The 13324-nt window shown below is 44.0% G+C and overlaps 1 long non-coding RNA gene and 4 other non-coding genes across 5 annotated transcripts, besides 1 other annotated feature; 1 reads left to right on the top strand and 4 right to left on the bottom strand.

The window, feature by feature from the left end:
• Nucleotides 1–1087: 1087 nt before the first annotated feature.
• On the bottom strand, nucleotides 1088–1176 carry TRY-GTA3-1 (tRNA-Tyr (anticodon GTA) 3-1). Its single transcript is given in 2 exon segments — nucleotides 1088–1123; nucleotides 1140–1176. It is a non-coding gene; the product is annotated as a tRNA-Tyr (tRNA).
• A 1444-nt stretch (nucleotides 1177–2620) lies between these two features.
• Nucleotides 2621–2710, bottom strand: TRY-GTA8-1 (tRNA-Tyr (anticodon GTA) 8-1). Its single transcript is given in 2 exon segments — nucleotides 2621–2656; nucleotides 2674–2710. It is a non-coding gene; the product is annotated as a tRNA-Tyr (tRNA).
• An 871-nt stretch (nucleotides 2711–3581) lies between these two features.
• On the bottom strand, nucleotides 3582–8956 carry LOC105374988 (uncharacterized). Its single transcript, NR_134611.1, has 2 exons — nucleotides 8744–8956; nucleotides 3582–6252 (listed from the first exon to the last, which is right to left on the bottom strand). It is a non-coding gene; the product is annotated as an uncharacterized LOC105374988 (long non-coding RNA).
• TRA-AGC11-1 (tRNA-Ala (anticodon AGC) 11-1) lies at nucleotides 6344–6416 on the top strand. The gene has a single exon. It is a non-coding gene; the product is annotated as a tRNA-Ala (tRNA).
• Nucleotides 8751–8880: an enhancer, noted in NCBI's record as "active region_24248". NCBI's record gives its function as "activates an Ori minimal core promoter by ATAC-STARR-seq in GM12878 lymphoblastoid cells {active_cell/tissue: GM12878}" and the evidence as "EXISTENCE:reporter gene assay evidence [ECO:0000049][PMID:35858748]".
• TRY-GTA1-1 (tRNA-Tyr (anticodon GTA) 1-1) lies at nucleotides 9332–9422 on the bottom strand. The gene is given in 2 exon segments: nucleotides 9332–9367; nucleotides 9386–9422. It is a non-coding gene; the product is annotated as a tRNA-Tyr (tRNA).
• Nucleotides 9423–13324: the final 3902 nt, after the last annotated feature.

Raw genomic sequence — 13324 nt, 5'->3', positions numbered from 1 at the left:
GGTTGAAAAATTATCGGGTACTACGATTACTACCTTGGTGATGGGAACATTCATACACTAAAACCCAGCGACACGCAATTTAGTCACGTAACAAATCTGCCTATGTAGCCCCTGAACCGAAAATTTAAAAATAAAAAAGTTCTCAATTTTTATTCTTCATTTTCTGTGCCTAAAGAATAAACAAGTATTGGCCAGGCGCGGTGGCTCACTCCTGTAATCCCAGCACTGCGGGAGGCCGAGGCGGACGAATACTTGAATCCAGGAGTTCGAGACTAGTTTGGCCGACATAGCGAGACCCTCCCACCCACCCCTCGTCTCTCCAAAAATAGCTAGGGGTTCTGACTTGCGCTTGTAGTGCCAGCTACTCGGGAGTCTGAGGTGGGAGGATCGCTTGAGCCCGGGAAGTCCAGTGAGCCGAGATTGCACCGCTGCACTCCAGTCTGGGCGACAGAGCGAGATTGTCTAAAACAACAACAACAACAACAACAACCACACAGAGAAACAGAGAGAGAGAAGAAAAGTAACAGGATAACAGAGGACCCCAAAAGTCATCGTATATCCTAACCTCCAGTAAAAACTGAAACGAAAACCTTGGGGCCAGAGTGCTCCTGTCATTCCCCACACCTCCCACGCGCCTTCTTAACTGAACTGTGTTGCGGGCGTTGGCTGTGGTTTGCTGGTCGAACGTCAGCTCGGGTCGGGGATGGAGAGGGGAAGTGGGAATAAAAACTGCATTTGACGATCAGTAGCCGGAAATAAGAATGGCATCGAGAAACCAAGAGCCAGCCAGCAGGAGACTCAGGGAGGGAGTGGAGGTGAAGAGTGTTGCGAGGTACAAATTTCACAAGGAAAAAGTGAAGCCTCAGACTTCCTGGAAACGCTGCTTTTCATCTACGCAGGTGCCCTTCGGTGAAGCTACCACATTTCTAGTTTATTCCTAAAATTTTTTACTCATGTAACCAAAAATGGTTTACTTGTGCATGTTTGAGCATAAAGAGCTATCTAATACATTTTTTTTGCCTGGATCCTTATTTTTTGTAAAGACCGTATTGTCTGGAATTATTAGCTTGGTAGGTCAAAACTACCGTCCTCCGAGCCGGATTCGAACCAGCGACCTAAGGATACCTTGCTTAATGAGCCTACAGTCCTCCGCTCTACCAACTGAGCTATCGAAGGACACGGAACGCTGTCCTTTTTAGACACGTAGTTCTGCGTTCTCTAGAATCCCCAAAATAATGTGCGTCCTGGAAGTTTCTGGGTTTTTAAGTCTTGTTCCATTTAGGAGATTTGGTTTTAATTAATTATATTAATGCTCATTTTTTAAACTACGATCGGCTTTAAAGCAGTATTCTCATACACCGGAAGTATTCTGTGTAATGTTCTAGGTAATTGGCTTCATGGGTTTATAAATATGTAAAAGGCATTGGGTTTTATATTGAAAACATTAGGATATTTATGTATAGCTCAAACCAAAAACCTTACTGGAATCCCCCGTCCTCCTCCCCTAGATATACACAATCTCCCAGATTACGCCCTCTGTCCTGCTGTTTTGTCTGATTAACTCCTCCTTTCTGTCTTAAAAGTGACTGGATTTGCTTGATAAATGCTATGGCTTTTCTATTTGCTTGATAAAATGTATTTGCTTGATAAATACAGACAACCGGGTTGATGAGGATCCCAGGGCTGTGAACAAAGCATTCTGGTATCATTGCAGTTCTCCTTTTTGAAAGTCGAATGATAAATTGTGTGTATTCACAACTGTAGTGATGAAACGTGGAAGTGTCATCTGTGCGTGTTTGTGTAAATTTGAGTGTATATTACATAATCATGGTGGAGCAGTTAAAATGAAGCAAAAATTTTTGAAAACTTTACGTGGAAATATAAATATTCGTTTTTCAAAGCAAATTGTCCAACATAAAGGGAGGTTCTGTGTAGATTGTTGTCTGCTCAGCTTCCTTATACCTAAGGCAGAAATGGGGAATATGTTAAAACTATCTCGCAAGAAAAGGCTTTAAAAGGAAAAATCCCAAATTTTTCTTCAAATGGCAACTGCTAGTGCCTCTTGTCAGAAATATTAATAGCATACAGTTGATATTGAACTCTGTAATTAAGTCCCTTGCATGAGTAACTAAGAAAATAGTATATGCTAACTTTCAATGTTTCTAACCTAATAGAGAGCTAGCAGCTAGAGAGGAGGGATCCCAGGATGTGGACAGTCTCTCCTGACATTATTGTGTGTCCTATCTGTGCCTTAGACACCAGGCGGAAAAGCTACAGGGATGCCAATAAGAAGTGAAATTTCAAGACGGGGCTGCTACAAAATTGTTGTCTCTGTTAGGATTACTGGGGTGACACCTAGAGAAACAGGAAGGCCCCAGAAAGAAAACAAGTTCACTTTCCCACCTTCAGCCTTGGAGTCTCTAACCACCCTTTTGGCAAGGCTTACCCATAGGGTCAAGTGGTGGAACTGCAATGTGATTAACAGAGTCCTACTTCCTGTATCACAAAGGGGATTAAAGAAAGGATTAAACAGCAGTCTAATACATCTTCCTGTCTAGATCCTGATTTTCGTAAAGTTCCGTTATTTCTGGAATTATTAGCCCGTAGTTCAAAACTTTCGTCCTTCGAGCCGGATTCGAACCAGCGACCTAAGGATGCCTTAGTTTAATGAACCTACAGTCCTCCGCTCTACCAACTGAGCTATCGAAAGGACCCCTAGCCCTTCATCTTCTAGAATTCCTAAAATAATGTGTCCTGAAAGTTTCTGGGTTTTCAAGTCTTGTTGCATTAAGGAGACTCAGTTTTAATTACATTGATACTCATTTTTAAAACTACAATCGGCTTTAAAGCAGTTTTTTCAGACACTGGACGTACTCTGTATAATGAATCCATTTGTGCTGTGTATCAAAATACCTGAGACAGGGTAATTTATAAAGAGTAGAGGCCAGGTGCTGTGGCCTAGCACTTTAGGAGGCCAAGGTGGGTGGATAACTTGAGGTCAGAAGTTCAAAACCAGTCTGGCCAACATGGTGAAAACCCATCTCTACTAAAAATACAAAAATTAGCTGGGCATGGTGGCTCACGTCTATAGTCCCAGCTACTGGGCAGGCTAAGGCAGGAGACACTGGGCGGCAGAGGCTGCAGTGAGCCGAGATTGCACCACTGCACTCCAGCCTGGGTGACAGAGCAAGACTCCATCTCAAAAAAAAAAGTAGAAATTTATTGCTCACAGTTCTGGAGACTGGGAAGTCCAAGATCAAGGTACCAGCAGATTCAGTTTCATAGATTCAGTGTCTGGTGAGACCTGCTTTCTCCTTCCAAGATAGCACTTATGTTTGTGTCCTCACATGGCAAAAGAAATGGAGGGCAAAAGGAAGAAACACTGTGTTCTCATATGGCAGAAGAAAGAGAAGGCCCCCCACAAAAAAAAATGGCCGAGCTCTGATGGCCAAATGACTTCCTAAAGTCCCCACCTCTTAATACTATCATATTAGGTCTTAGATTTCAGTATAATGAATTTTGGAAGGACACAGACATTCAAACTATAGCAGGCTGCTATGACAAAAATACCACAGACTGGATGGCTTAAAACAACAAAAATTTATTTTCTCACAGTTCTGGAGGCTGGGAAGTCCAAGATTAAGTTGCCAACTGATTTGGTTCTTGGTAAGGGCTCACTTCCTGGCTTGCAGATGGACACCTTATTGCTGTGTCTTCACATGGTTTGAGTACTCTGTCTCCTCTCATAAGGAAACTAATCTTAGGGATCAAGGTGCATCCCTATGACCTTATTTAACCTTAACTACTTCCTTACTCCAACTAAGTCACTTTAAGGATTAGGGATTCAACACAGAATTTTAAGGAAACACAATTCAGTCCATAGTAGTGGGTTTGGAGTTGAGAGTCAATAGTTTAACAACTGCTAACAACTGTTAAAACTTCCATGTGAAATTTAAGATTTTTTTTTTTTTTTTTGAGGAAGGGTCTCAGTCTGTCACTCTGTCACCCAGGCTGGAGTGCAGAGGCATGATCACAGTTCCACAGCTTCACCCTCCTGAGGTGATCCTCCCACCTCAGATTCTCTAGTAGCTGGGACTACTACAGGCACATGCTACCAAGCCCGGCTAATTTTTGTACTTTTTGTAGAGATGGGGTTTCTTGACCTTAATTTACTTCTGTGGAAGCTAAGAAGTTGTAAAATTTGATACCTAATCCAATGTTGCTAGAAACCAGAACTCCCAATTCAAAAGCCCTAGGCAAACCAATTGCTCCCAGTTTACAGTCATGCCAATACACAACCCATGGATCTGAACTATGGGATTGGGCTAATTTTCTTTCACCTCATTTCCACACCTGCGCGCCTAATAGAGTCATAGAAAATAAACAGAAAAGAGTAAGGGGAGGCCAAACTGACTGGGTAAATTCTGTCCAGGGTTGAAGAAGGAGAAAGCACCTAGGTGGTGTGAGCCTCAAAGCAAGGCTGACTTTGAGCCAAGTTCTGAGATGAATGGTGGGTTTCTACACTTGCTTAGAACATCTGAGTTGGTTTTTTGTTTGTTTGTTGAGAGAGTCTCGCTGTGTCACCCAGGCTGGAGAGCAGTGGTGCAATCTCTGCTCACTGCAACCCCTGCCTCCCAGGTTCAAGCGATTCTCCTGTCTCAGCCTCCGAAGTAGCCAAGATTACAGTCACCCGCCACCGCCCACGGCTGATTTTTGTATTTTTAGTAGAGACAGGGTTTTGCCATGTTGGTCAAGCTGGTCTTGAACTCCTGACCTCAAGTGATCCAGCCGCCTCAGCCTCCCAAAGTGCTGGCATTACAGGAGTGAGCCACTACGCCTGGCTAATATCTGAGTTTTTAACTCTCTTGTCTAAAATGGTGGGGGCAGGAAATTGGGAGGTTTTCTTCCAACAGAGTTATCCACTTTTTGTCAGCCCTGATTGCAATGAAAAAGCAAAAGAGAAAAGCAAGTATTAAAGGTTGTCTTAAGGTCTTTAAAAGACCTACTATGCCCTGCGCAGCAAAGTTACTTTCTTAAATAAGATATTTTGTCTTCTCCACTTTCAATTTTTAGTATCTTGCCCCAATTTCATAGAGACTAGAAAATAAAAAGAGGAAGTTTCTAATGATGGAATTTCTGGAAAAGAAGCAGTTGAAGGTGCAGATGTTGGGTGACGGCTTTCGTATGGCTTTTTTGAGAGTGATGGGACTCTAGTAATGCCCAACGGATCCTCCTTTTCCCAACTAGCTTCTGCTGAACAGTACCTAGCACCTAGCACCTGGCACAGTAGCTGGTACTCAATAGGCCCAGAAGAAAAAGTGGCAACTAAAGCATTTGTCTTTGTGCAAAGACTCTGCCTCTAAGTCTGCAGCCATAAGTATATTCGCTTCTCTTGCTAATATTTACCTTAGAAAAATAATTTGTACACCCCTGGATCGAAATCAGGACTACAGAAACCAGAATAAAGAAATCAAATGGGACGCACGCCCCCTTGTGGCCACAAGGTCCTCCGGCAGCGACAAAGCCAGACAAAAAGCGGATTTGTTTTTTTTTTTTTTTTTTTCCTTTTTGAGAGGGAGTCTTACTCGGTCGCCCAGGCTGGAGTGCAGTGGCGCGAACTCAGCTCATTGCGACCTCTGCCTCCTGGGTTCAAGCGATTCTCCTGCTTCAGCCTCCCGAGCAGCTGGGATTACAGGTGTGCGCCACCACGCCCGGCTAATTTTTTGTATTTTTAGTGGAGACAGGGGTTTCACCATATTGGCAGGCTGGTTTCGAACTCCTCATCTCAAGTGATCCACCCGCCTCGGCCTCCCAAAATGCTGGGATTACAGGCGTGAACCACCGCACCCGACTTTAAGGGATATTCGTAGATCTACAAAGACGCTGGATAATCTGTTTCTGGAACCAGATGAATAGATGGAAATTTTAGGGGTGCGGAGAGTGGTAGAAACTATTGGTTAGGCCAAGGCCGAACCTCATTGCTTGAAAAACTTGATTTTCCCTTCTGGCCGCATCCTCAATTTGCTTCCAGTTCCCGGTTTCCGCAGATGTGATTCCAGTGTTAAACTCTTCCCGGACCCCCAAGACAGCTGTTTCTATGGACTTCGCCTCCCTGGTTCACCTGCACTCGGTGGGCTTCTCCAGACGGGATCCGACATGGTAAAACAGGTTATAGATGGCGCTGAGGGGCGGAAGTCATGCTGAGGCTCTTTAGTCACCATTGTACACAGTTCTTCATTTTTTTCCTATTGGCTAGTGACGAAAGTCAATTGAAATAGCGAGAGTCCTGAATTACTTCCAGATATCAAAGAGGGTAAAGGATATAAGAGACGTTTTCCCACACGGGGAATTAGCTCAAATGGTAGAGCGCTCGCTTAGCATGCGAGAGGTAGCGGGATCGATGCCCGCATTCTCCAGTTTTATGTGGTTTCCTCTCCCACCTTACCCTTTGGCCTTTACTCCTATCTTTCCATGAATATCTTGCTGACACATAAGCAGCTAACAACACACTCCCGTATCATAATGGGGGTGGTCTTTCCTTCAAGCTCAAGATTCTCTCACCACCCATGAAAACCCATCTACTCGGTGGTTCCCTAGTCCTCAGATTGTTCTATCGTAGACAGAGCTGGGTACTTCGAATTTCTCTCACTATTTTCAGTTCTGAGTGTTGGCCTCTGCCAGGTGCATTGGCAAATCTATTATACACTTCGATCATTTATGTATTACATTTTTATCACAGCAGACTGAGGACGTATTACAAATTTTTTTCTTTTCCTTTTTTTTTTTTTTTTTTTTTTTTGAGACAGACTTACTCCGTCGCCCAGTCTGGAGTGCAGTGGCACGATCTCGGCTCACTGCAACCTCCGGCTCCCGGGTTCAAGCGATTCTTGTGCCTCAGCCTCTGGAGTAGCCGGGATTACAGCTGTGCGCCACCACACCGGCACATTTTTAGTAGAGACGGGCTTTCACCTTGTTGGCCAGGCTGGTCTCGAACTCCTAACATCTAGTGATCCACCCGACTCGGCCTCCCAAAGTGCTGGGATTACAGGCGTGGGCCACCGCGCCTGGCCCTGTATCACAAATTTTAAAAGATTTTTAAAATTACATTTTTATTCTTGGAATCTATTTCCTACATGTCCGACCTATTGAGGACCACCTTAAGTTGTTACAATTGTAACAAAGGCACTCCCATTATCTCAATAATATGGTGGATGGGCCAGGCGTGGTGGTTCCCGTCTGTAATCCGAGCACTTTGGGAGGCCGAGGCAGGCTGATCACGAGGTCAGGAGTTCGAGACCAGCCTGGCCAACATGGTGAAACCTCGTCTTTACTAAAAACACAAAAATTGGCCCGACGTGGTTGCGCATGCCTGTAATCCCAGCTACTCCGGAGGCTGAGGCAGGAGAATGGCTTGAAACCGGAAGGCGGAGGTTGCAGTGAGCCGAGATCGGGCCACTGCACTCCAGCCTGGGCAACAAGAGCGAAACTCCGTCTCGAAAAAAATAAATAAAATATATAAAAATAAAATGATGGAGAGCCAAAGGGTATGTAGGTATGTTTGAGGGTTTTTGTTTTGTTTTGTTTTGACGTTCACTCTTCCTCTTCTGAAGTCATCTTGCTATATCTTGCCGGAGGGTGGGGTGGGGGGGTCTGCTGCTGTTACTGGTGCTGGCACATAGGAGGAGAATTGTGACAGAGAATCTATCTGGACTGAAATCTATTGTGCCTTGGCAAGAAGCTTAGTCCAGGACTATTTAACAAATGTTGCATTCAAGCCCCAAACATTACCTTTGAAAATACCTATTTGTTTTGTTTTGTTTTGTTTTGTTTTCTGGCTGGGTGCGGTGGCTTGCGCCTGAAATTCCAGCACTTTGGGAGGCCGAGGTTGGTGGATCAACTGAAGTCAGGAGTTCCAGACCAGCCTGGCCAACATGGTGAAACCCCGTTTCTACCACAAACACAAAAATTAGCCCGGCGTGGTGGCGGACGCCTGTAATCCTAGCTACTCGGGAGACTGAGGCGGGAGAATCTCTCGAATCCGGAAGGTGGAGGTTGCAGTGAGCTGAGATGGAGCCACTGCACTCCAGGCTGGGCGACAGAGCGAGACTCCGTCTCAAAAAACCACAAACAAAAGGCCATTTTTCTTTTGCCCCCAACCAGCTTTCAAAAAGCAAGTTCATGGGGGAGCTATCAGTTTAGATCCATCTCCAGCCCTTAATAGGAGTGGCTTCCAATGCGTTTTGGGCAGGGCTCTCCAACCACCACCCTAATTCAATAAGCCTGGGCTTCTGTGTTTTTTGTTAGTTTTCCAGGTGGTTCTGATATCCAAGTTTGAGAATTATTTTCATAAAGAATAAAAGTTTGGAAACATGGGAAGGAACATACAAGAAATTACCAGGCACAAAATCCTCAGAAAACGCTTCCTTACTTTGATCTAGACAAAGATATTTGTCATTAAGAACTCTTCCATAGGTATCTGGGATCACATTTTTGAGACACAAAAGGGTACAATGGGATTAATATATTGTAATTAGATTGGCACAAAATTAGCAAATATGTACCACTGTTATGCCAGATCTCTACTTTGTGAGCTAATTCCCTATGTGGGTAGGAAATCCTGTCCATTTTTTCCCTTATGTACTATTTTCTCCTAAAATGATTCTCTTCTACCAGTGTTTTTCAAAACTTGCAGTACAGGAAAGTCAGCTGGTGAGCTTTTGAAACTACAATACCTGAATCTTACCTCCAAAGAAACCCAAGCATAGATGCTTTGTAAAATCTCCCCAGGTGATTCTAATATCGACCACATATTCTCTGCTAGGGTCGAAAGACACCACCATGACAATTAAAAGGAGAAGGGGGAATAGAACTCCTGAATTTCATCCCGGCTTCAGATGTATAGGGTTCAGACGCTAGTGGTTCAGCTTGTAACTGACTCGCAACGATTCAGAACTCTGAACACCAGGGCACGCGCGTGCCCCACCAATTACCAGTTGCTCCGAGTAATTCCCACCAGCCGCCCCTTTCCCCCGGCTGTGGATCCGGGGTTGAGGGGTGGAGACGCCTCTGTGGATCTCTAGCCCAGTGGACCAGTGTCTGATTCACTTCCTCAGTGCCCAGGGCTTCTAAGAGGGTTGGATTATACGAATTATAGGGATGAAGTCTTGATGGCGCGTGTTAAAAATTGTTACGGAGAATAATAAAAAATTAAAGAGATTCACTGCACATCCAGAATAGTTTTAAATAGATTCTTATCGAGGATATGTATAAGTGAAATACGCATTTCTGAGAATGAATTTTAAAACTTACGCAAAAAAAAAAAATTGTGAACTCCTTCGAGCCGGATTCGAACCAGCGACCTAAGGATGTCTAAGGACACAGCCAACTACAGTCCTCCGCTCTACCAACTGAGCTATCGAAGGATTCACACGACTTTCACTTCCCGCTGGGGATGCCATCTCTGCGGAAGGTTGGGCAATCGTGGATGCTTGTCGTCCTGTTTACCTGCGTCGTTGATGTTCTTTTGACATCCACTACCCCTTCGGAACTGACTGATATTCAGAGGCCCTTTTCTCTGAAACAGGGAGAAAACGGGAGCACCACCCTCACTAGTTTACAAAAAGAAACATAAAATGTTAAGGAGGCACAAGGAACTGATAAGAATTTAGCAATGACCATCTTTTGTTGTGATGAATGCATTATATAACCAATTTTAACCTCTACCTAAAAATAGAATTTGAAACACTTTAACAATGCAATTTTAATGGGATTTTATTGAGATAACTGACAGGAGGAAGAGAAGGAAGAGCAGGCTAAATAATGCAACTTCGAAAGCATAATAATTTTTTTTTTTTTTTTGAGACAGAGTCTCGCTCTGTCGCCTGGGCTGGAGTGCAGTGGCGCGATATCGGCTCACTGCAACCTCCGCTTCCCAGGTTCGAGCGATTCTCCCGTTCTCCCGCCTCAGCCTTCGAGCAGCTGGGATTACAAACGCAAGCCACCACGCCCGCCTAATTTTTATATTTTTAGTAGAGTTGTGATTTTTGCCATGTTGGCCAGGCTGGTCTCGAACTCTTGGCCTCAAGTGATCCGCCCGTTTTGGCCTTCTAAAGCCCTAGGATCATAGGCGTGAGCCCACAGCAGCTGGCCATCACATTAATTCTTAACTCAGCAAAAACCTATCCATGGGTGTGCTAAAATGATACATTTTTAAATGATTAACACAAGGTAATATCATTTCAAATATTAGTTTTGCAAAGTGTAAGATTCTTGTCTAGCTTTCTATGACTCTGAAGCTCAGAATAGCTATTATCCTCCCTTGTTAATGAAAAAATCCACTTGTGGTGGAATCTGGCATCCGAAATCTGTTTCATTATGGCCCGGCGCGGTGACTTACCTCTGTAATCCCAGGACTTCAGCAGGCCGAGACGGGGAGATCACCTGAGGTCAGGAGTTCGAGACCAACCTGGCCAAAATGGTGACACCCCTGTCTCTGTTAAAACTACAAGAATCAGCCGGGCGTGGTGGTGGTGGGCGCCTGTAATCCCAGCTACTCGGGAGGCCGAGGCAGGAGAATCACTGCAACCTAGGAGGCAGAGGTTGCAGTGAGCAGATATGTTGCCACCGCACTCCAGCCACTCCACAGAGCAAGACTCCGTCTCAAAAAAAAAAAAAAAAAAAAAAAAAAGAAAAGAGAAAAAAAAATCTGTTTCATTCTTTTTCATGTTCCATTAAAGATAATTACCTTGTCATATAATGAAACATGCACAGGGCAAATGATCCTTCTTGTGCAAGTAGGCCATTGAGCCCAATGTTCACTCCTTTATGGCACACAGATTTTTTTTTTCTTTTCTGAACAAAAATTGAAAGTACATTTAACTTGGCCATTAATCTCCTCAAGTCCATGAAACATTTATTTGAGTGGGGCGAGTCTCGATGAATTAAATGTAATGTTTTATCTCCTCTCCAACCTCAATTGCCTGAATAAGTTATCCTATTTCACAGATGTATTTACTTTTATACATTTGGTCAAAATACACTTTTCAAACGGTTAAATGCATGATTCATATACGAATATGAAATAAACACTTGTCAAAGGTTTAATTCACTAATGAGGGAATCATCAAGATGGTAAAACTGGTAAAACTGGATCGAAGAATTTATTGATAGTCACTGAAAGAAGCAATGCTGTAAATTAACATTGCTAAGTGAGGTAGAGAACTGGAAACTGCCTTACAGGACAATAAAACTGTACTGTTTCTACAGGACGGAAAATAACTAAATATCAGACGAAGTTCATTTGCATCACCACATCACGACGTTCCCTTACAAAGCTGAAAAACTACCCTAATCAATAAATAGTAAACTAGGCCGGGCTTGGTGGCTCAGGCCTGTAATCTCAGCAGTTTGGGAGCCTGAGGCAGCTAAGTCTCTTGAGACCAGGAGTTCGAGATCAGCCATGGCCAACATGGTGAAACCCTGTTTCTACAAAAAATACAAAAATTAGCGGGTCGTAGTGGTCGGGGGCCTGTAGTCCCAGCTACTGGGACTGGCTGAGGAGGGAGGATCCCATGAGCCAAAGAGTGTGAGGCCACAGTGAGCTATGATTGTGTCACGTCACTGCACTGCAGCCTGAGCGACAGAGCCAGACCCTGTCTCAAAAATAAATAGTAAGCCAAAACAATGGTACATACTCGTGGAGCAGTAATTTCTCTAATGGAGCAATTTTGCCTTCACAACGGTCATCTGACAATGTAAGAAGACATTTTTAATTGTTGTGACTGAGGAATATAGTAGGTAAATTGTTGTGACTGAGGAATGTAGTAGGTAAAGAACAGGAATGCTAGTAAACATCCTGTAATGCATAGAACAGCCCCCACAACAAAGAATTATAATATCTAGTCCAAAATGTCAATAGCGCTCTATTGAAACTCTGCTCTAGAGAATGAAAATAAGATAATCCTGGGCCTGCAGTTTTCTAATTGGCTCCCCTTGTCCAGATTGGTCCCCTCGGTTCTGTTCTCCACACAAAATGCCAGCAAGTTCTCACTGAGAGGTGTCTGAGGTCCATAAGATTGGCACCATTAAAAGAAGTTCCCCCCGGGCGCGGTGGCTCACGCCTGTAATCCCAGCACTTTGGGAGGCCGAGGCGGGCGGATCACGAGGTCAGGAGATCGAGACCATCCCGGCTAACATGGTGAAACCCCGTCTCTACTAAAAATACAGCCGGGCATGGTGGCGGGCGCCTGTAGTCCTAGCTACTCGGGAGGCTGAGACAGGAAAATGGCGCGAACCTGGGAGGCGGGGCTTGCAGTGAGCCGAGATCGCGCCGCTGCACTCCAGCCTGGGCGACGGAGCGAGACTCCGTCTCAAAAAAAATAAATAAAAATAAGTAAATAAATAAATAAAATTTTAAAATGCAGCCCATGTGGCAAACTAACATGCAGTTAATTCGCAGATTTGATTTCCATTCATTCATTCGGTAAAGGTTTACTGCGTACCTGCTGCGAGCTGATGGAAGAGGCCCTGGGTTCTTTGCGAGCGCGTGGTCCCTTGAGTCCCTTGAGGGTGAGGAAATCGCACCACCGACCTCCACGTGTAGGGGAGGACGTGGTGCAGCAGCGCCAGATAACGCCGGAAGAACCCCAAGTGGAGGCTGCTTGGGTCCCTCGGGAGTGAGTGAAGAACCAATTTCTGTGGCATGTGTTTCAACAGTAACTGTACTGTAATGCTTCCTAAAAAGTAAATATGTATTGAACTAATTGTATACATAGACCCTTTTGAACACAATTTAAAAGTAAATAATGAATTTTGGTAGTAGAAGTTACAGCAACATGGACAGGCTATTTACTCGTATGTATGATGTAATGGAAAGAACACAGAGAGGTATTGGAGCCACTTAGTCCACCTTTGAATCTATGTCTCACTAGTAGTATGACTTCCCTAACTTCCTCATGCCTTATACAAAATGGAGATGATGATAATGAAGGTAATACAGATCCTAAGGGGATAGTTGTGAATATCAAATTAAATAGAATTTGTAACGCACAGTTCTCAGAGTGTGCTGTCCACTGCCTTACTCCCACAGGCTCAAACAGGGGAACCCACAGAGAGTACTTTGAAAGCCTTTTCGCTGGGCCTTATCTTTAGTGAAATTAGAGTATAAAAAATTCAAGAATAACACCATAGGAAGCATACGAGTAATAATGTAATCATTAAAACAAGTCCCAAACAGTACCACAAAAAAAGCTAAGTACACAAGAATTTAGACTATGTAAGAGATCAGATTTGGTTGAGATTAATTAAGGAAAGCCTCCTAGATGGA

Source organism: Homo sapiens, chromosome 6 (assembly GCF_000001405.40).
Source record: "Homo sapiens chromosome 6, GRCh38.p14 Primary Assembly".
In the NCBI taxonomy this organism is placed as follows: domain Eukaryota; kingdom Metazoa; phylum Chordata; class Mammalia; order Primates; family Hominidae; genus Homo; species Homo sapiens.
Note: the sequence above shows the minus strand (reverse complement) of the source record. Positions and strands in the feature narration are given on the sequence as shown.